General features: G+C 49.1%; 1 protein-coding gene across 56 annotated transcripts in view, besides 2 other annotated features; it reads left to right on the forward strand.

Moving 5' to 3' along the window:
- The window catches only part of CACNA1C (calcium voltage-gated channel subunit alpha1 C), a 727,171-nt gene that overhangs the window by 577,054 nt on the left and 130,632 nt on the right, over positions 1 to 19,485 (forward strand). For 44 of the 56 annotated variants that reach the window (XM_017019934.3, XM_017019946.3, XM_017019943.3 and 41 more), the window contains 3 exons: positions 2,110 to 2,200; positions 9,118 to 9,144; positions 18,589 to 18,749. In XM_017019934.3, coding sequence (XP_016875423.1) covers positions 2,110 to 2,200; positions 9,118 to 9,144; positions 18,589 to 18,749 — 279 coding nt within the window. Of the gene's footprint in view, positions 1 to 2,109; positions 2,201 to 2,710; positions 2,831 to 9,117; positions 9,145 to 18,588; positions 18,750 to 19,485 lie in introns of all 56 variants that reach the window. The other 12 variants (XM_017019926.3, XM_017019927.3, XM_017019928.3 and 9 more) reach the window with 1 other exon arrangement.
- Positions 3,050 to 4,249: an enhancer, noted in NCBI's record as "BRD4-independent group 4 enhancer chr12:2660049-2661248 (GRCh37/hg19 assembly coordinates)". NCBI's record gives its function as "activates an origin of replication core promoter dependent on BRD2, P300/CBP, MED14 and CDK7 cofactors, and independent of BRD4, by STARR-seq in HCT116 cells {active_cell/tissue: HCT116}" and the evidence as "EXISTENCE:reporter gene assay evidence [ECO:0000049][PMID:35650434]".
- Positions 7,537 to 8,037: an enhancer, noted in NCBI's record as "H3K4me1 hESC enhancer chr12:2664536-2665036 (GRCh37/hg19 assembly coordinates)". NCBI's record gives its function as "activates a minimal SCP1, AML or CMV promoter by ChIP-STARR-seq in primed H9 embryonic stem cells {active_cell/tissue: H9 hESC(primed)}" and the evidence as "EXISTENCE:reporter gene assay evidence [ECO:0000049][PMID:30033119]".

The following is a 19,485-nucleotide window of genomic DNA, read 5'->3' on the forward strand; positions in this document are numbered from 1 at the left end:
GAACCAGCACAGGCAGTGCCTTGATTTAGAAGGTGCTGTCGTTATTTCCAGTGCCCAGGCCTGCCCCTCCGATTTTGTCTGTCTTTCCAGGCCTAGCACCACCACCTCCACAGCACTGTACTCACACATAAGGCTCTGGGAACGAAGTGTCACAAAGTCACAGAACTTTTTCTACGTGGCCTAGCCCTTCAAACAAGGATGTCTGGAGGGTAGAGAGCTAAAAACTAAAAATAAAAAATAAAAAAAACCTTTGGGCTGAGATGGCTGGAGATAGATGGGTTGGAAGACTGAGAGTGCTTCCATTTTATGGCTTCCTTAGTGTGGTTTGAGCAAAGCCCCTGGCAAGCTCTGAAGGTCTGAGCTAAAACCATCCCTAAGGGCTGGTCTCACCAGCCCCTCCAGACTTCAGACTATAAAGTGAGTGTAATGCTGTGGAATTCAGTGCCCCTGTTTGGCTACTCACTGCCCTCCTGTGGTGCTCCCAGAGCCTAGTAGGCTTTAAGAAGCTTGTCTGCCTAGGGTGTAGAGTACAGAGGTGGTCGAGACTGGGGCGCTCAAGATGAACATGCTACAGGAGGTGTGACACTTGTGCCCTGGACCCAGCCCTACTTGAACACACCATATGACCATGGGCATCACATCCCTTCTCTGGCCTCACTTTCCTCTCCTGCGGAGTGAGGAGGACGAGTTAGAGCCAGATAATTTCTAAAGCCTCACCCAGCCCTAGAGTTCTATAAAATGACATCTGGATTTTTTTTAATTCAATTTTATTAAAAAGGTCAGAGAGGTCTCTCATACACAACAGTCAAACATACGGTAAGTCGTGGACTTTCTGTTTGTATCTTCCATGTTCTTGAAATGATTCTCTTCTCACCAACCTGGCTTGTCTTCATCTGAAGGAAAGGAAACCAGGAAAAATCCACATCTATCAACATTATCCATGCAACCAGTAAAAGTGTTTCTTGGGCTCTGGCAGCCTCGCAGGGACTTGTCACCAGAGGCCACTCCCTCAACTAACAGCAGATTCTGTGTCTGCTGAGGGCTGATGACTTTCTCAGCATATGAGGAGTTCTATTCTGGAGGAACAGCAGAACCAGGACCAAGGATATGATGGCCACTCTAAAGAATAAGGGTTACAAAACTAAGGAACGCATTGTATCATAGTAAGAGAGTGTTGGAAGGTGGAGAAAAATTCTTTGAGTTAAACTTTTATTTAGAAGAAAAAATAATAATAATAAAAGAAATGGCTTCTTTCAAGCCACCAAACTGGGTTCTAAGCCAGAAAACTCCCATTGTTCTGGAAATTCAGCCCACAGCTGCCTTGGGAGGAGGCTGGACAAGTTGAATTAAACGGCTTATATCCAAGTCAGCCTGTTGACATGGGAATGTCAGGGTGGCTGAAAGGGGAAATCGTATCCCTACAGGCTGTCTTCTGACCACAATTAAACATAATTGTGTGGACTGCACACTTCCACTCCTCACTCCTTATGTCTGCAGGGCTAGCTTGAATCTTAGTGCATGGCTCTGGGGATGGCCATTCCCCTCAAGCCCTCTGTCTCAGTTGTGCTCCTGGGTGTAACCAACTGCCGGAAAGGGAAGGCCTCTGTCCACCCAGCAGCTCATCAAGGTAGCAAGCACGCCCTTTCTACAAACAGGCTGGTCCCTGTTCTTGGAGATGGAGCCCCTTAGAGATGGTGGGTGGGATGAAGTAAGGAAAATGATATATTTTCATGAAAGCTCCTCTTTCTGTGGCAAGTGGTAGTTGCAAATGGAAAGCCTCTACAGCTTCTTCCAGTCCACAGAGTGGAGAGGAGAGATTCAATGGTCAGTTTTTTCAGGATGTGTCCTATGAGGTAAAATGCTCTTATTACCAGATGTCCTCCCATACTTCCATTAGTTTACAGTGTTCTTGGCGGCAAAACCTGCCTGGACAACCAGCAGATGTGTCCATCAAGGGGATCTGTGCAGATCAGCCAGCCAGCGTGCTCAGCCTCTCTTTCTGCCAACCCGCACTGGGTCTTGCGGTGGGCGTGTTGCAAACTACTGCTCTTCTGTTCCCTTGTCTCCCCACCCTCAATGCCTGGCTCTGCTTCCCTTTGACTCTTGCAGTGAGCATGCCCACCAGTGAGACCGAGTCCGTCAACACCGAAAACGTGGCTGGAGGTGACATCGAGGGAGAAAACTGCGGGGCCAGGCTGGCGTGAGTAGGCACGGCGAGCCCAGGGGCTGGGGCTTTTTCTGGAGCATGGGTGGAAAAGCTGCATCTGGAAATCACAGTGGGCTGGCTCATCACTAGGAAGGGCAGAGATTAGAGCCGGTGGCAAGAAACAAACCTCAGGTGGGAACCAAGATGGGGAGCAGAGGGCCCTGGGGTGAGGGTGGCCCTGGCCGGGGGTGAGTCTTAAAATCAAGGCTAGTCTTCAATTCATCACTTCTTCGGGGGTGCTGACTCTTAGGTTTTGAGCCTCTTTTCATCACATCTGAGAAATATAGAGGGTGTGTGTGTAGGGGGCGGCCCCAAAGTCTGTTTCTTTCACTCCAGTCCCTTTCGCCCCTCTTCAAAGAGACAGCGAGGTTAGGGCCCTGAGTCCTGCTGGCCACCCTTTCCATTCTGATAAATGTGACCTGGGAGAGAAGCAGCCAGGTGAGAAGATGTTCTGGGAGATGACTGGCATGTGGGTCCTTACCTGAAGCTCTCTCATCCTGCCAGTAAGGGAAGCAGAAGTGCAGTGGAGCCTGCTGTTCTGTTGCCTTGGGGTGTCACGACTGTAAACTCACCCTGGCCTCTGGAAGAACTGCAAACAGAGGCTCTGAGTCAGACCAGTCCCAGGTACAATGCATTTCTGAATTGCTCCACCTGGGGGGCGGGGCAGGGCGGCATCTCCCTTCCCTCCTCGTCTGTGGAATGATGGAGAGCCTGGGCAAGCGCAGCCCTTTCACAACGCTGAGCTGTGGAAGAGTCTAAACACAGCAATGCCGGCCTTGAGCGTGGCCTGGGAGCCCATGTTGGGGAGGGAGAATGAGGCTGACGGCAGAGCAGCTCTCACAGCCGCTGTTTCCAGGGAGCGTGGAGCTTCAGTATCACTCACTCTGACACTGGCACCAGGGAGTCTGCACTGCAGATTTCTCAGCATTGTCGGGAAGCAATTATTGTCAAAATGTTGTTAAAATACGATGCTAATTACATTTTTAAGCAGCAGTGCAAACCTCTTCTTTTGGAATCATACAAAACAAGCACTTGAGTTTCTGGAAGTAGGTCCCAAACAGCAACTCTAGGGAAAGGCCTATAGGAAGGCTTCAAAGTCTGTCAGTTCTAGGCCTTTCTGTTGTCTTGCCACCAAGACGAGGCTTAGAGAGATGATCAAAGGCCCTGCAACTCTGGCTGTTGGGCAGGCCCAAGTCGCATACCAGGAGGGACTAGGGAGCTGGCACCAGGAAGTCACTTGATAGTACATTTCAGGAGAGCATGAGGCTCTGTTAGGAAGGAAACATGATATTCCCCCACGGATGGAGCCTGGCAGTCTCCAGTGGATCTGTCGTTTGCTCAGAGCACATGCTCTGCAGCCTGGAGAGCTCTGCAGAAATGGTCCCCGTTATCCCCATGTTTAGCCACATTCGTACTCTGTGCATACAGAACGCTGAGTCACAGTGCCAGAATTATAATATGCCCCGAATAAAATGTGGTCTTTCCCCATCTCCCTACCTCCCACCCCGCCCCAGACAATGATGAGCCAAGACTGCCAGCATTCCTGGCGGGAGAAGCAGCATGGGAACTGAGATTGCGTGTGATGGTCTGAGGGGAAGTGAGTGACCGGGATCTTTAAAGCTAAGGGTTAAAAGTCTCATGTAATGAGATTAGGTCACGATGAGGACTGCTGTGTAGTAAGGAGGCCTGGATGAAGACGGTTCCTGTTGGGGGAAGGGAGGAAGGAACTACGGCATGTTACTTCATGGCAGCAGGGGCAGGCGGGTGCAGGTAATGAAGAGGAAGGAGCCGTCACAGTCAGGGAAGAGGATAATGAGGCAGAAGTGAAATCTGAAGCAGGAGCCCAGTTGGAGTGACCTGCGGGTGTCATGGAGACCACGAGATACGGAGGCCCGAAACTCAGCCCTGAACAAGGGTGGACACACATGTTTGAGGTTGTTGGGATGAAAACTACCAATGAGGTGATAGGACGGGTTGTTCAGAGTGAAGTGGAAAACAAGACCAAGGGCTGAATCTTGGGAAATGGACACACAGAAGAATAAGACCAAGCAAGCAAAATAGACAAAGGAATGTTAAGAGAACAGGCAGCAGCGCCAGCCTGGAAGCCGCGGGAGGAGGAATTTCAGGACAGAGCTGTTTATCCATGCATTCGTTCAACAGTCTGCCCAGCTTGGTGCTAAGGCTAGGTGGTGGTGACACACAACAGGGAGGAAATTGACACCATCGTGCTGGAGCTCACAGTCTAGTGTGGGAGAGACACTATGCAAATAAATAGGCAACTATAGGATTGGGGTAAGTGTTATGAAGGAAAAGTAAGTGTAAAGTCGGGCTAATAACAAAGGTTTCTAATTTGGACTGGCAGGTTAGGAAAGGCTTCTTTGCAGAATTAAAATTCCAGCTGAGAACAGAAGGATGAACATGAGTTATTGAGGGACTGGCAGACCCTTAACCGTTTGGGTCTGCATCAGAAGAGTGTGAGAAGTCACTGAAGGGCATTCAGAACAGAGCTGAGTGGGAGGTTGATTTGGTTAGTTCTGAGCTCCTGAAGGATCACTGCGACGTCAGGAAAAGAGCAGGGAGGAATGAGAAGCTGCAAGAGCCTGACACAGGTGAGAGGTAATGTGGCAGCAGCTCAGGCTGCAGAGGGAAAGAAGGGCTGTGTTGTGTGTGTGTTCTGGGGTGCTACCCCTCAGGGTTGCAGGGCACTGGTCTTGGGAGTCGGTCTCAGTGAGGGAGATGGGGTGGAAATGGGCCACGACAGAGTGCTCACTCAGGCAGTGAGGCCATGGACAGGGAGGAAGATGGGAGCATGTGAAGAGGAGTAGCATGAGTGTGGGAAGCGCTGGCCTTCATTGTAATAAAGGCAAGGGCAAACTTCAAGACAAGGAAGAAGTCACGGAGCAGGAAGAGGTGAAACAAGCTGTAGGGGAAGCAAGTGCTTATAGGAAGGCATTGCTTCTGAAGAGGAGAAGGGCGACAGCAAAGACAGTTTGAGGCCCTGAACTTGCTCAGGAAGGAGGAATTTCTGTGCACCTGAAACTAATTGGAAAATGAAAGAAGAGGAGTCCCAGAGTCTAGTGCCCACCAACCTCCAGCTAGCCCTGGGATCTTGGCCAAAGCACTCCGCTCTGGGCCTCAGCCTCGTCCTCTGGGAAAAAGAAGGGTCAGACTGACATCTCTGCAGAGGCTGGGGTGGGGGGCGGAAACCACCTGCAGCGGTGCAAGATTTCATGTGAAGAAAGCATTCTACACCTGGAGAAACTGCAAACCGTAGGTCCATGTGGTATCTAAGGGTCCCTTCCAGTTCTGTAAAGCCTACAGTTCTGTAAAGAATACAGAATCAGAAACAGGCTCTGATGAAGGGGTCAGTGACAGGAGTCACTCCGAATGAGCTCAGCCATCTCATCTCCCAAAGCAAGGGTCAGGGGTCACAGGAACTTGAAGGGCAGTATAGAGACTGAAACCAGTGAGTCGTCGAGAGGATGCTCAAAGGTTGCTGGGCAGCACTGATGCCACGGTGGAGACTGATATCATAAATGTGCAGTCAGCCGTATTTTTGGCAGACTCTGAAGCCTGAGAGCACTAAAAAGAGACAGCGGCGTGTCCCAGGGTGGGGCTTAGCCATGCAGGCATGGCAGAAGGCCCAGGCGGTGTGGAGTCTGTGTGGTATCGCGGGCAACATTGCCATGACTGTAGTCAAGCCTGGTGTTAAAGGGTGAGAGTGATGGGGAGGATCCAGTGAGGACAAATGTTGGGTCCTCTGAAAGAGCAGGAGGGATCATAGAAAGGGAGGCTCTGGCCAGAGTCATGGAGCATCTGAGCTCAGCACCCAGGAGTGGAAGCAATTCTATGCCGTGCAAGGGCAGGATGTGGCCCTCCCAATAATAAGAGCTGTGGGGGAGAGGACGTCCTGGAGTTAAGGATGCTGAGTCAGACGCATTGTCAATGTGGATGATGACTGCAGTGCCATCTGACTTATATTAAAGGCGAATTTGGGACAATTCAGGGAAATACTATTTTACACAGCAGGTAGTAAACATATGGCACTCTTTCCTCTAAGAAGAGGGGAGAGGCTGAAAATACAAATGGCTCTCAAGAAGTTCAAATATGTCTCAAATAATGACAAATGCAAACTGAGTAACTAGGGGAAAAAAGGAGTTTGGGGTTTGTCTCTAATTCTGAACCTGAAAAGCACGAAGGAAAATCATGGTCTCCCAGAAGGTTTGTCTTGGAGTCCTGGGTGGAGAAAGTATCTGGGGTTGCATGAACTTCAGTTCCTACCCAGTGGATCTGTTCTGATGGTCTCATGTTCCTTACCAGCCTTCTCTCCCTCCTCGCTCTTCTTCAAGAATCCGCTCAACCTGAGGTAGGAATTGTGCCTCATTGGAACAACAACAGTGGAGACAACCAGGAAGCCTTCCGAGTGTGCTGTGCATAGAGAAGCCAGAGCCCCCAGCTGTTCTCAGAGTTCTTTGGAGATTGTGAAGATCGGTAGCAGGGAGGCATTGGCCACAGTGAACCGGCCTAGGGTGTGGACCAGCACCATGGCACCAAGGCATCTGGGCTCCTGATGGCACCGAGGCACCCGGGCTCCTGGCTTGCGTCCTCTCACTGCAGGAGCACCTTTCCAGCCCAGAACCCTGGGCCACCTCCCAGGAGGCAAAGAGGTCCTATCATTAACGCCAAGGTGTGCAAAGGGAGCAGAAAGAACCAAGGCGTTCAGACGTCACAGAGTTCTCACCTCAGCTCCCCATGGGCATGGAGTTTTCCCTGGCCTCCAGACAAAAGCCGCTGAGCAGTGTCCTCCCCTTCGCAAGGAGTGGAGCCTGCCTGACATGGAACTTAGCCATTTGGCGGTTGCTTGTCAAAAGTGCCAGCCTTTAAAAGCGGATGAGGTTTTGATCCCCATGAACCTAAAATTCTGCTCACAATCCCGGAGGATAGCAACAATAGCAACAAAATCAGTCTTCAAGTGTGGTGCCCAGGCTTATCCATCCAGACCTGTAACAAAGCAGACAAGAAGGCTCTGTCCATTTCGTGCTCAGAATGTGCCCGGATGCCACAGAAGGACCTGTAGTCCACGACTGTGCTTGAAGCAGGACCTCCTTTCCCAGCACCCCCAGCGCCAATCCTGCTTCCCAGGGTCATTTCCCTTGGAGACGAACACTCAGGATTAGGTTTCCCCAGAGGGGAGCTTTTCAGAGCCCACTTGCACTTGTGACCCGCTTGCACTGTGAGCAAGACAACGCCTCATGGCAAAGGGCCGGTGGTCGTCATCAAGGGGCACCCCAGACAGGACTACTGAGGTGTTTCTGAAAGAAGGCCTGGGACCAGGCTAGGCTTGGAGTCAGAGTGACAAGGCTGAAGTCCATGGTCACCCACTTGAGCTTATGGTTAACAGCAAGGGGAGACAACCACCCAAAAGCAGCCTGGGAAGACACTGAAGGTCTGGGGCTCAGCATGGCCCCGCTGGAGAAGAGAGCACCTAGGCTCCCCAGCACCCAATTAGCAGCTGGGAAACATTTGTTTGCTGGTTAAACTGTGGCTGTAAATAACAATGCTGCCCTGGGCTCCCAGTCCCCCTCCCACACGCTGTTAACCTGTGATTAAGCCCTCCAGCCCTCACAGGCAGTCTTTGCGGGTGGGATGAGGTTATTAGCTAACCGTTCGGAGCAGTAAAGGCGCTTGGCTCAGACTCGCAGTGCCCCAGAGATGTAATTATCTCATGCACGATGGCTTTGCCACCTGTCACATCTTCTGGCTTAATTTTTTTAATAAGAAATAACGAGAGGGGCTGGCGTTTTCTTGCTCTGCGACACAGCTAGCTGTGTGCCGCGCTGGGACGTCGCAGGCCTGCGGCGGTTGCCTCCCAGACTCCCTTCTCCTGTTTCCTCCCCATGCCTCTCCTTGTTGCTCCACCACTGTCTCCATCCCTTTCTTCATCTCTAACTTGCGTTCTGTCCTTCTGCTTCTCCATCTGAACATTGTCACCACCTGCACTATCCCCAGCGTTCATGCCCTTCTCCTAGCACCAAAGCCAAGCTGACAGGTGCCTTCTAATGGTCTCAACTGCTTACATTCTCTCACTCTCCCTGTCTCTCTCTCTTTGGCTCAGCCTTCTCTCCTCCACACTTCTCTTTTACAGTCTGTCCCTCCTGCCCTCTTCTCCAGCCTCCTGCCTCCCCTGGACTCTTCCCTACATGACCTAGGGAGCCTCAGGACTTCCTTGAAGGTTCTGCCTTTCCATGGAACCTCCTCCCTGTTCCATGACCCTTCCAGGCAGCCACCCTCACACCCACCCTGAGCTTCTGCCCAGAGGTCCCCAGGTCTTCAGGGCTGCGTGTGACCGTCAGCATCCTGGGTTTCTCCTCGGAGTCTGGGGCTGGCGCCTTAGGCCTCCTCTGCAGCTCTTGGGTGGGGGCTGTTGTGGCCCCTCCATTTCTGGCTGGCTCCTTTTGCTGGTCTTCCCTTCATAACCCTACTCTAGCTGGGCTCTGGCAGACAGCTGTGAGGTCTGTGCCGACCTGTTCTTGCCTGTGATTTTTCTGCTGTTGGGGTCCTCTTGTCATCAGGAGAGGCCTTTTCTTTCTCTGCAGCTTGTCTCAAGATACAGCTCTTCCTAACCTGACCTCATAGAAGTTTCTAGGCAGACCCTGAGGACCTGCTACTCTCCCTCTGCAGCAAGGATTGTCTATACTTAGAAGATGCTAGCCAGGCCAGACCTCAGTCTCCACATTCAAATACATAAATAGGGTTCTTTCTCTCCCAAGATGTTCTAGTTCACACCATGCCTCCTTCCAGCACCCACACGAAATTACCTGGGGAACATCAAATTTCCCTGGGACTGTTGACCGTCTTTTAAATGCACGTGTGTGTCCATCCTTTGGTAACATTTCCTTTTTCTTTTTCAGCCACCGGATCTCCAAGTCAAAGTTCAGGTGAGTGAGACTCACGCTGCTCTTCCTTCCTTCTGCCACCAGCTCTGTCTTCAGCCACCCTGTTGGGTGGCCCAAGGTAATACCTACAAGTTGCCAGTAGTGTAAGGGCTGTTCTTCTAAGGGGGTAACTACTTTCTGTATGGCCATCAAGAAAAAGCTTATGGCTCAGATCAGACAAATAATCCAGCGGTTGATATTTGTTGAATGATCTTGGACTGTCCATCTTTTTGGCAGCACAGTCCCTAGGAAGTTGTCAGACCAAATGTGTTTTCCTCCCTTCTAAGATGAAGTCCAGTTAAAAGAAACATAAAGTGAGCCCTTGTGACTGTCATGACCTACTTCATGTTTATAGAACATGGTGAGATGTAACCTTTGATGATGATGGAAAGCACGTAGGATTATGACACCCGTCTGTGTCACTGCTCTTGACAATGACAGAACCTACAAAAGGATCCAGGGTCCTCAGCCCCCATCTGCCTCCCAGCCTCACTTCCTGCACTTCCATGAAAATAACCTTTGTTCCCCCTACAAGGAACTTCTTGCAGTTATCCAAATGTTCCCTGTCCTGGTGCACACTGAGGCCCCTGCATGGAGCCAATCCTTCACTTAAATCACTATGCCCCCATGCCTTCATCTGGAGAACTCACACTTCTGTTCAGACCCTCAGATGTGACTGCTTCCGTGTTACTGCTTTCTCTGCCATTTCACTGGGCCTGGAAAATACCTTCTGCAAACTCCAGGGAGAGTTACTCAGCTCCCCCTTCCCTGGTGCTTTGCTGATGCCTCTGTCACAGCACTCAGCACATGACACTCGGATTACTGGCTCACAGTCCCCTGCTTCCAAAGGCTCTGCCTGCATGCCTCCAGGGGTTATTTCCAGAGCACCCAGCTCAGTGCCTGTCCAGTGGTGAACGTCCATACATGTGTGTTGAATGAATGAGTGGACAGATGTGTGCAGGGAGAATGTGAATTCACTCCCACAAAGCTTGTATGTGCCAAAAAATATTGGTTATTTTTCATAATTGAGCTAATCTTGTTTCCCTAGCCCTATCTCCTACATGGCAGGAGCATAGAGAAATTTTTATCCAGCTGAGTAAATGTAGCCCAGTGCTGTATTTTAAACAGTCCCTTAAGGTAAAGTGATTTGTCTCTCAGATTGCCTCTCTCCCAGCTCCTCTCTTGGACGGAGCTGGACACATGGCGGAGAGGGACTTTGAGATCCCAGGAAGCAGGGAATGATGAGGGCTGGTCCTAGAAGCCACGCGAGCCCTCTGGATGCTTGCTCATCTCTGCTGCATGGGGCTAGGCTGAACTGCTGTCTGAACTGGTACCTGCTGAGGTCCATCTGGTTAGGGCATCCACTGCTGGAGTCCATGCCCTTAGGGCATCCACTGCTGGAGTCCATGCCCTCTACTTGCCTCCGGCCTTGAAATCTCCACCTCTGCTCTCTGACCCTTGAGTTCTGTTGGCCCACTGACTTTAGCACCTCTATACCTCAGCTGAGGACATGGACACTTCCAGGTCCCTCACACTCCGTGAAGGAGCTAGAGGAGACAGCAGCCCTATGACAGGCTCATTGGCCTACCGGTGTCCCATCACAACCTCTGTAACAGCCAGGATAAGCTTCAAGCCAAGGGCTGACCTTCTCCCAGGGTCTGCCGAGGCACTCCACCAGCCCCAGTGTTGCTGGGCTTCCCCGTGGCCATCTGGGTGTTTCTAAAGCAACTCCCCACCAACCTCTTGGGCTGTGGTGACCAAGGGCTAAAAATTAAGTGGGGACCCTGGTGTCTGACTTTTGCTCCACTTCTGATACCTTCTTTCTCTCCCGTTTCACTAGGACTGGAAAATACAGGCTTTTTTCCCAATCCTTGTTTCTCTCAAACCAAGACCTCATCTACATAAAACATCTAGGGTCAGGCCCATCCACTCTAGCTCTTATTACAGAGCAAGAGCTCCAGAAATATTAAAAAAAAAAAATTTCTCTCTCTCAGTAATGCTTGGCTGTTACTGCTTAATCTCCAGCATCTGGAGAAGTGGCTGGTACATAACAAGAACCTAATAAATATTTGCTGGGTGAGTGAGTAATTAATAAATGAATGATCTTGCCCCAGTAAGACAATAGACTTGACACAGATTCAAACAAAATATCTAATTTGACAGTCAAAGCTGAAAAAGCATGTTGTGCTTTAACAGTTCCAAAGCCCCCACACAATAAGAGTAAAGGGATTAAAAATACACTTGAAAATATTTCCAAAATATCATTCTCAGTTCATGCAAGTGAGTAAATCATAAATTAATAAATGAATGAATGAATGAATGAATATGATCTGGAGGATGGAAGGGAAAATTACATACTTGTGTCTCGAGTTAGAGATTGCCTGGAACACTCTGGGAACATTATTTTCATCCAGTGATCTATGGTGCAAACTGTGCTTTTCAACAAGAGGGAAAGAGCAGTGGTGCCTGTAAACCTCTGGAGTCTCCCTCGGCCCTGAGGCTTTGCTATGTGCTGGCCATTCAGCCCTGATCATCTGCCTCTGGGAAGGCCTTCTCCTTCTGCAGCCACCCCTCAATACACCGCAGTAATGCGGACGGCAGATTTTGTTCTCCTAAAGGCTTACAGCTAGTAGATTGGCACTATCATTGAAACTCATTTCCAGATGAGGATCCTGAGGCTTTGAGAGGCCCAGGTCACAGGGCTCTAGTATGGCTGAGTCAGAGCTCATACCCAGGGGCTCTGCTGCCAATCACTGTGCCATCCTTGTGATGAGGTTCTGCCCGGGAATAGTAAACCCTGTTCCTGTATAGCTAGTGTGTCCGCAGAGTGTGTAACTCTAGAGCCATGCTATTCAACAGAAATATAGTGCAAGCCACATATGTACTTTTAAAAATGTTCTAGTAGGCAGGTTAAAAAATAAAAAGAAACAGGAAATTTCTTTGATTTAAACCAGTATCTCTAAAACATTACTATTTCAATATGTAATTCACATAAAAATTATTAATGACATATTTTGCATTCATCCTTTTGTGCCAAGTCTTTGAAATTCAGTGTGTGTTTTTCCCTTACTGCCCATCTCAGTCTGGACTGACCATGTTTCCCATGCACGGTAGCTGCATGTTGCTAGCGGCTGCCACGCAAGGCCACGTGGCCCTGGAGGTTTCACACATGAGCAGGTATCACACAGCAGCCGTCTAATCTAGATTCAGCAGTTCACTGATGGTGTCTGCTTAGGGAATATCAAAGGTTACAAATAGATTGAAAATGCCACCAACGTTTTCAAAGTATTCCTGATCATTTTCTCAAGTTAGGTGAAACAGTTTAACAATTACAGATAATGGAATTTGAGTCTCAAACTGGCCTTTTCCTTTGCAAAACAGAATGATCCAAAGTCACGGTTTCTTTAAAGAACTGTAAGAATGGAGTCTCTAGGGAAAATGTGGCCGGTTAGTGGATTACAGCCATAGTGGAGGATTCCCTTGGTAATCCAGGTTTTCACTTAGAGGAATTAGTTAAAATAAGAGATTTGTGACATTTGGAGCTCACTGTTCAGAATAAATGTAAACAGTTATGAAACAAATGATTCAGGAAGTCTTTTGTAACCTGAAGGGATTGATTACACAAGTTGGAGTTTCTGGATCTCAACTTTACGGAGTTCTGAAGTGAACCTCACGGGGTTCTGAAATTGGGAGGACTAGCTTGCCCAGTCTTCAGTGAAATGTGCTTCCAATGTTCTCTTCACTTCTGCCATACCATCAGCAACAAGGCACAAATCCAAATTTGCCCCAATCTCTAATAGTCCTTTGTAAAGTTACTTATTTACAAGAGAATTAAACTTAATGATTTTCTGTGGTGTTTGTTGTTGGTTCTGGTAAAAAAAAAAAAAAAAAAAAAAAGTGGAAACTTACTCTAGCCACTAGAAGGAGCCTGCAGGGCCCATCATTTTGATGTTGTCGACGATTCCAGATGCCTGTGCACCATTGCATGTCAAGCAAACTATTTTAGGAGCACTGTCCGCTCCTCACCTCCACCCTCAGCCCTGGTTCACAAGAGCTCCGGGAATCTTCAAGCCTTGTCTTCCAGAGGGAGGTAGTACATTTGCGTAGAGTTCGTCTCTGCTGCTCAACCGTGCCATCAGCCAGGGGTTCCCGTGCAGGATGGACTGTGCTGAGTCCCATGGGTCTGTAACCAAGTGTAAGACACAACCCGATTCCTTCGTGGGTCTTGTGAGCTCCGCGGAGAGGCAGGAACCATACAAATGAAACGTAACTGACAGTACAAGGAAATGGGAACTCATTTCCTCTGGGGACCCTTCTCGCCTAAGGTGTCCTTTCGTGTGCTCCCTGGTGGACCCGCCCAGCACTCAGGCCCTGCTGTGACTGCTCACTTAGTGGTCTGTGTCTCCGTGTAGCTTTTACGCAGAGGAGGCCTGTGAGCGCTGTGCTAGCTACTGAGTATCTGGTGCCTAGCCCGTGGTCAGTGTTTAGTAACTATTTCTTGGATGTGTAACTAAAATGAGTAATGCAGACAGTAAGCGCTGAAGAGTGCCAAGGCTGAGAAGACTAGAAGCATGCATCGTGGAGAAGCTGGGACTCAGTGTGAGCCCCACAGGAGGGGCAGGACAGACAGGATGAAGCAACGGTGGAGTTTCCGGTAGCTGGGAGGACTTGCCTTGCAGCTGGACAGGCAAGAGGAAGGCCCAGTGTAGGGAGAAGGGCAGGTGGAGCTGGGGCTGCGAGAGCAGAAGTTTAGAAGCAGTGATCCCGAAGTTTAGAGACATAGATGAGACCCATTCGTATCCATCCCTCTCTCCTGTGTCTACATATGGAAGGTTCTATTTCTAGAGAAAATGACTTCCAGTTAGTGTGAAGGGAATATGAATAGCAGGCAAATTTCTCCTCCCTATTTTATCATTTAATTTCTGTATCCTCCATGCATATGTAAACATAAATAAATTTACACATTCTAATAAACCATTACATTTATTATACAGTAGGAAGTGTTGCCAGGAAACCAGTTGTCAAGCAAAGCTATATTTTGAAGAGTGGGAGGTGCATAATTATCTTTAAATACTTTCTCTGGATAGTAATTACCCCACCCCCACCCCAGCCCAAATCCATGTGACTCTCCCAAATGGGTCTGCTCAGGAGCACCCCAGTTGAAAGGGACACCGTCCTGTCCACTCCGGCCACTCCTCAGGGGTCTGTGCAGAGCAGCTCCAGACCCATGGGACCAGCCTGACCACACAGCACCCATATCCACTACTCCCAAGCATGAGGAAAAAGGGGCATAATCAAGCTCTCATATTAAACCCACTCCAAGACAGCTCTACATACCGCAAAGAAAGCAACCTTGATTGCCTTGGACTCTGAATAACAATTATCAGTGATTTCTGGAACTTGAGACTGTATCTATTTAAAACATGTTCTTTGCAAACTTCACTGTCAGCTCTTTAAGATCAGATATGAGTTTGTCCTGAAAATTCATTTTTTAGGGGAATAAACTACTTGCCAAATTTCTGTACAGTATTAATAATCACAATCACAGGAAAAAAGCAGAGGCATGCCCTGCAAGATAAGACTGTTTAGTATCAAGATCTGGCAAACTTCAGAGGTCGCCTCTCAAGAGGACCATCTGGGACTCATTGTCTCATTTCTTTGTCCCTCTGTCCACCCTCCACCATCCTCCCTCGGATCCAGGGCAGTATGTCTGGGGGTGCAAGAATCCCAAAGTGCATTTAGAAATCATAACGTTTTAAATTGTTAATGTTTATGGGCACTAATGGGTGTATATATTTATGAGGTGCATGTGATGTTTTGATCCAGGTGTACAATGTGCAAAAATCAAACCAGGGTTATCAGGGTGTTCCTCACATCAAGCACTTATCATTTCTTTGTATTACGAACATTCCAATTCCAGTCTTTTAGTTTATTTTAAAATATGCAATAAATTATCATGACTGTAGTCACCATCCTTCTCTCCTATGTTGTATGATCAAATATTACATCATATTTATTCTATTTAACTATATTTTTTCACCTATTTACCATCTCCACTACCCTTTCCAGCTTCTGGTAACCATCATTCTACTCTCTGTATCCATGAGTTCAATTGCTTTAATTTTTAGCTCCCACATATGAGTGAGAATATGTACAATTTGTCTTTCTGTGCCTGGCTTATTTCACTTAATATAATGGCCTCCAGTTCCATCCATGTTGTTGCAAATGACAGAATTTCATTCTTTTTTATAGCTGAACAATATTCCATTGTGTACATGTACCACATTTTCTTCATTCATTTGCTGATGGGCGCTTAGGTTGATTCTGTATCTTGGCTATTGTAAATAGTGCCGCAGTGAACATAGGAGAACATAGGAGTGCAGATATCTCTTCAGTATACAGATTGGAAACCATGTTTTCCACCTGGTGGCCTGCTTCCCTGTGTAGTGGATTTTCCCCCAAGTGGTAGGCCAGTGTCGCATGTTAAGGTGTGGCCCTCACTGGAGATGGCCTTCAAGCTAGAGCAGAACACTGCCTGGATTAATCCTTTTTCCCCTCCCTGCTCCTCAAGCCAAAAACTAAGTTCTCCCTGCAGTCCTGAAGAAAGAGTACCCTTCTTTGATTACTCTTCACTCTCCTAACCTCATCTTAGATTTAGCAAAGTCTTGGTAACAGGATTTTCTGCAGATCATAGATAGAAAAATGACAGAGTAGAAAGGTGGATGAAGTCAGGCTACTCCAAGAGGCAATTTTGGGGGTATGTGCAGGGATCCGTAACAGCCCAGGTTGGCATCTTGGAGTTTGCTGATGTTTGGAGGGGCTTCTGCCCTGGAAGTAGAGGACCAAGGCTGAGGGCAGTGCACACAGCACGGAGCTGTCCCTGCCCCCTGGGGCACACCCACATGTGGTGCTGCTACATGCCCGGGGGCTAGGAAGGAATAGGCCATTCACAGACCAGTGAGTTCACACAGATGGGGCTTGCTGTTCCACCACCAGCATAACTTGACCCAGGAGGTGACGCTGAGGCTTGATGGTCATCTCTGGCAGGAAGATTGGAGAAACGGACTCATGCCATGGACTGTGATTTAGAATGGAGGACCTCATTTCAGCTTCCTTGCGCTGAAGTGGAGGGCCGGTTTTCACATCCAGACTTAGTATGCCACACACAGACACACACACACCGGAAACAAAGTTTTATGTAAAAATATTTTTGCTTACTGCTTACTTTAAAAAGCAGTTTCCTTACGATATGATACGCACTGTGATATTTTCCACTCTATTCCTTTATTCAGTGCCAGGCATGACCTACTCAATAGATTTCATGACCCACTAATGGGCTGCAGTGTGAGGTTTGAAACCTCTGCCCAGAGGCAGATTCTGCATGCTTATTTAGAGGAATGTCTGTCTAGACGAGAGAGATTCATAGAAAGGAGATCATTTTATGGAAAAATACAGATATTCATGGACTTTATCACCAGGATTCTACTTTGTTTCTCCTCCTGCCTTCATTACCCAGGCAGGAGCTGTATCTTCAATGCCTCGTGGGTCTGCGTACAAGCCCTACAGGTGCCCCAAAGCCATGTGCAGAGCTAAGCACCCCATTTTTCTCATAACTGACCCCTCTGCCTGGAGCTCTACTCCCGCTCCTCTGGCCCTCCTCTGTGCTGCCCTCCCAAATCGCCCCAGCTAAAAATGTTGGCAGTCCCTTCCATACCTGTCTTTCTTATTCTGCACATCCGCTCATCTCAAGGGACTATTGATTCTGCCTCTAAAATTGCTGCCAGCTCTGTGTCATCTTTTCCATTAATATAGCTATTGCCTTCATCATCTCTAACCTGGAGAACAGGAAGAGAATTCCTCATACTCTCCCTGGTCTAGAAGGTGACAGAGGGGCTGTTTTTGTGGGGTGTTCCAATCCAACCTGATCATGTCCTTTCCCCCTCCCCAAGCCCTCAGCATGGCCCCTGCAGTCTCCTCCTCAGCACCTCTCCAGCTATGGTTCTTCTCTCCTTGCACAGTGCAGCCATTTATTAACCATGTCGTCTACTGAATTCAACCAAACAGAGCTGTATATTTTCTCTGTATCAGGAAAATGAAAACGCCTCCACCATAGAATCTTAAAATGTGTTTCTTTAGGATCATCTTAGCCACTGGTTCTCAACCATCATTACACATTAGAACCACCTGGGGAGCCTTAAAAATACCCAACCCCGGCCGGGCGCGGTGGCTCACGCCTGTAATCCCAGCACTTTGGGAGGCCGAGGCGGGTGGATCATGAGGTCAGGAGATCGAGACCATCCTGGCTAACAAGGTGAAACCCGTCTCTACTAAAAATACAAAAAATTAGCCGGGCGCGGTGGCGGGCGCCTGTAGTCCCAGCTACTCGGGAGGCTGAGGCAGGAGAATGGCGTGAACCCGGGAAGCGGAGCTTGCAGTGAGCCGAGATTGCGCCACTGCAGTCCGCAGTCCGGCCTGGGCGACAGAGCGAGACTCCGTCTCAGAAAAAAAAAAAAAAAAAAAAATACCCAACCCCTAGAGAATCAGACTTAATTGGTTTGGTGTTGGGGCTTGCGGACCAGTGGGGTTTTGGGGAGGGTTCCCTAGGTAATTCTGTGTGTAGCCAGGTTTGAGAATCACTGACAAAGGCTCCTAAACCAAGATACGGGGAAGAGTCCATGGAGCATGGATGAGCTTTGAGGGGTCTGTGTGCTGTGTGGGCTCTCAAGTAAAGGTGTGTGTGTGGGCATGTGCCCATTTTTCTGAAAGGCAGATCTAAACATTCATCAGATTCTGGAAAGATTCTATAACCCAGAAAAACAAAGAGCCTGTGCTCCAGATGAACCCCTTCTACCATATGGATGTGGCACACACAGTCAGGGCCAAGAGGCTGGGCAGAAAACTACGGATGGCTCTGCCTGCTGTGATATTGGTCGAGTACTCAACCTCCCCAGCCCTGAGTTTTCTCCTCCACAAAAATCAGGATAATGCGTGCTTTGCAGAGTTACTGAAAGAATTGGAGAGAAGGCATGAGAAGTGCCTGATGTGGTACTGGGCCCCTCCTCCACTGTTACTAATAATGCTCTTATTGCTTACAACACTATTTCTAAGAATGCTGTTTCACAAAAATTAAAAAAACTTCCATTTATTGAGCATCTTCAACTTCAAAGCAGCCAGATGCATTATAAGGTATTTGATCCATCCCCACAATAACCCCATGAGGTCGGCCCTCTTCCCGGGAGAACTGAAGCTTGGAGGAGTTCAGGGGCATCCCCAAGGCGGCAGGGCCTGGTTAGCTGGATGAGAAGCTGGGCTCCTTGCCACCAGATTGGGCTGCTCTAGCAAGGCCAGATCAGTGAGGGGCGAGAAGAGCCATGGTGCTGCATCTTGGGTTGGAGGAAACCTGAATTCACAGCCAACCCCACCCTTCTCTCCCTGTCCCCTTTCCAGCCGCTACTGGCGCCGGTGGAATCGGTTCTGCAGAAGGAAGTGCCGCGCCGCAGTCAAGTCTAATGTCTTCTACTGGCTGGTGATTTTCCTGGTGTTCCTCAACACGCTCACCATTGCCTCTGAGCACTACAACCAGCCCAACTGGCTCACAGAAGTCCAAGGTGAGCGGCGGCCCCAGCTCTGCTCTGGTTTCCTCCTGGTAACTCAGCCCCAAGGCCCAGGGGAGGGCATAACCACAGGCAGAAGGTGGAGGGGAAAGCAGCCAATGGTCGGGGCTCTTGGCAGGTGCTGTGCTGGAGACACCAAGGGCCTGGCAGTTCCAAAGCCCCACAATAAAATGCGCTACCTTGTTAAAAACAGACACGGCTCTCCTGACTGGGCCCACACCATCAGCCTGCCCCAAAGTCACTGTTGGACCCAGGTGATGAGGAAAGGGGCTGCAGCTTGTTTGCCTATCTCAGACTCCTGGCTGCCAACTCCCCAGCATGGATTTTAAATACCTGGGGGCCTTCCTACAGCCCTGAGGTGGCCTTAACCAGAACACATGAGGATGGAATGAGCAAAAAGGCAGAGAAGAGAATAGGGCCTGAGCACAAGGAACCGTCTTCAATGGGTCGTTCATTCTCATTATCCTTCCTTGGGCCCCTAGACGAGGGTCCCACTAGCCAGGCCTCAGCATCATTGCTGGGCAGTCAAGAAGACCTGGCCCCATCCTCCACAGCTGCTTTCCAGAGTCCTGGGAGGCAGGGGGTCTAGTGGCGGAGAAGTCAGACTCAGACAGTGCGGCTCCAACTGTTGGCTGTTTGGCCTGCACAGGCTACTCACCTCTTTGAACCTCCTTTCTCATCTCTGAAAATGGGCATGACGATGGTGGTACCATCCCCACAGGCCTGCTAT

The sequence above is a fragment of the Homo sapiens genome, chromosome 12 (assembly GCF_000001405.40).
Source record: "Homo sapiens chromosome 12, GRCh38.p14 Primary Assembly".
NCBI lineage: Eukaryota > Metazoa > Chordata > Mammalia > Primates > Hominidae > Homo > Homo sapiens.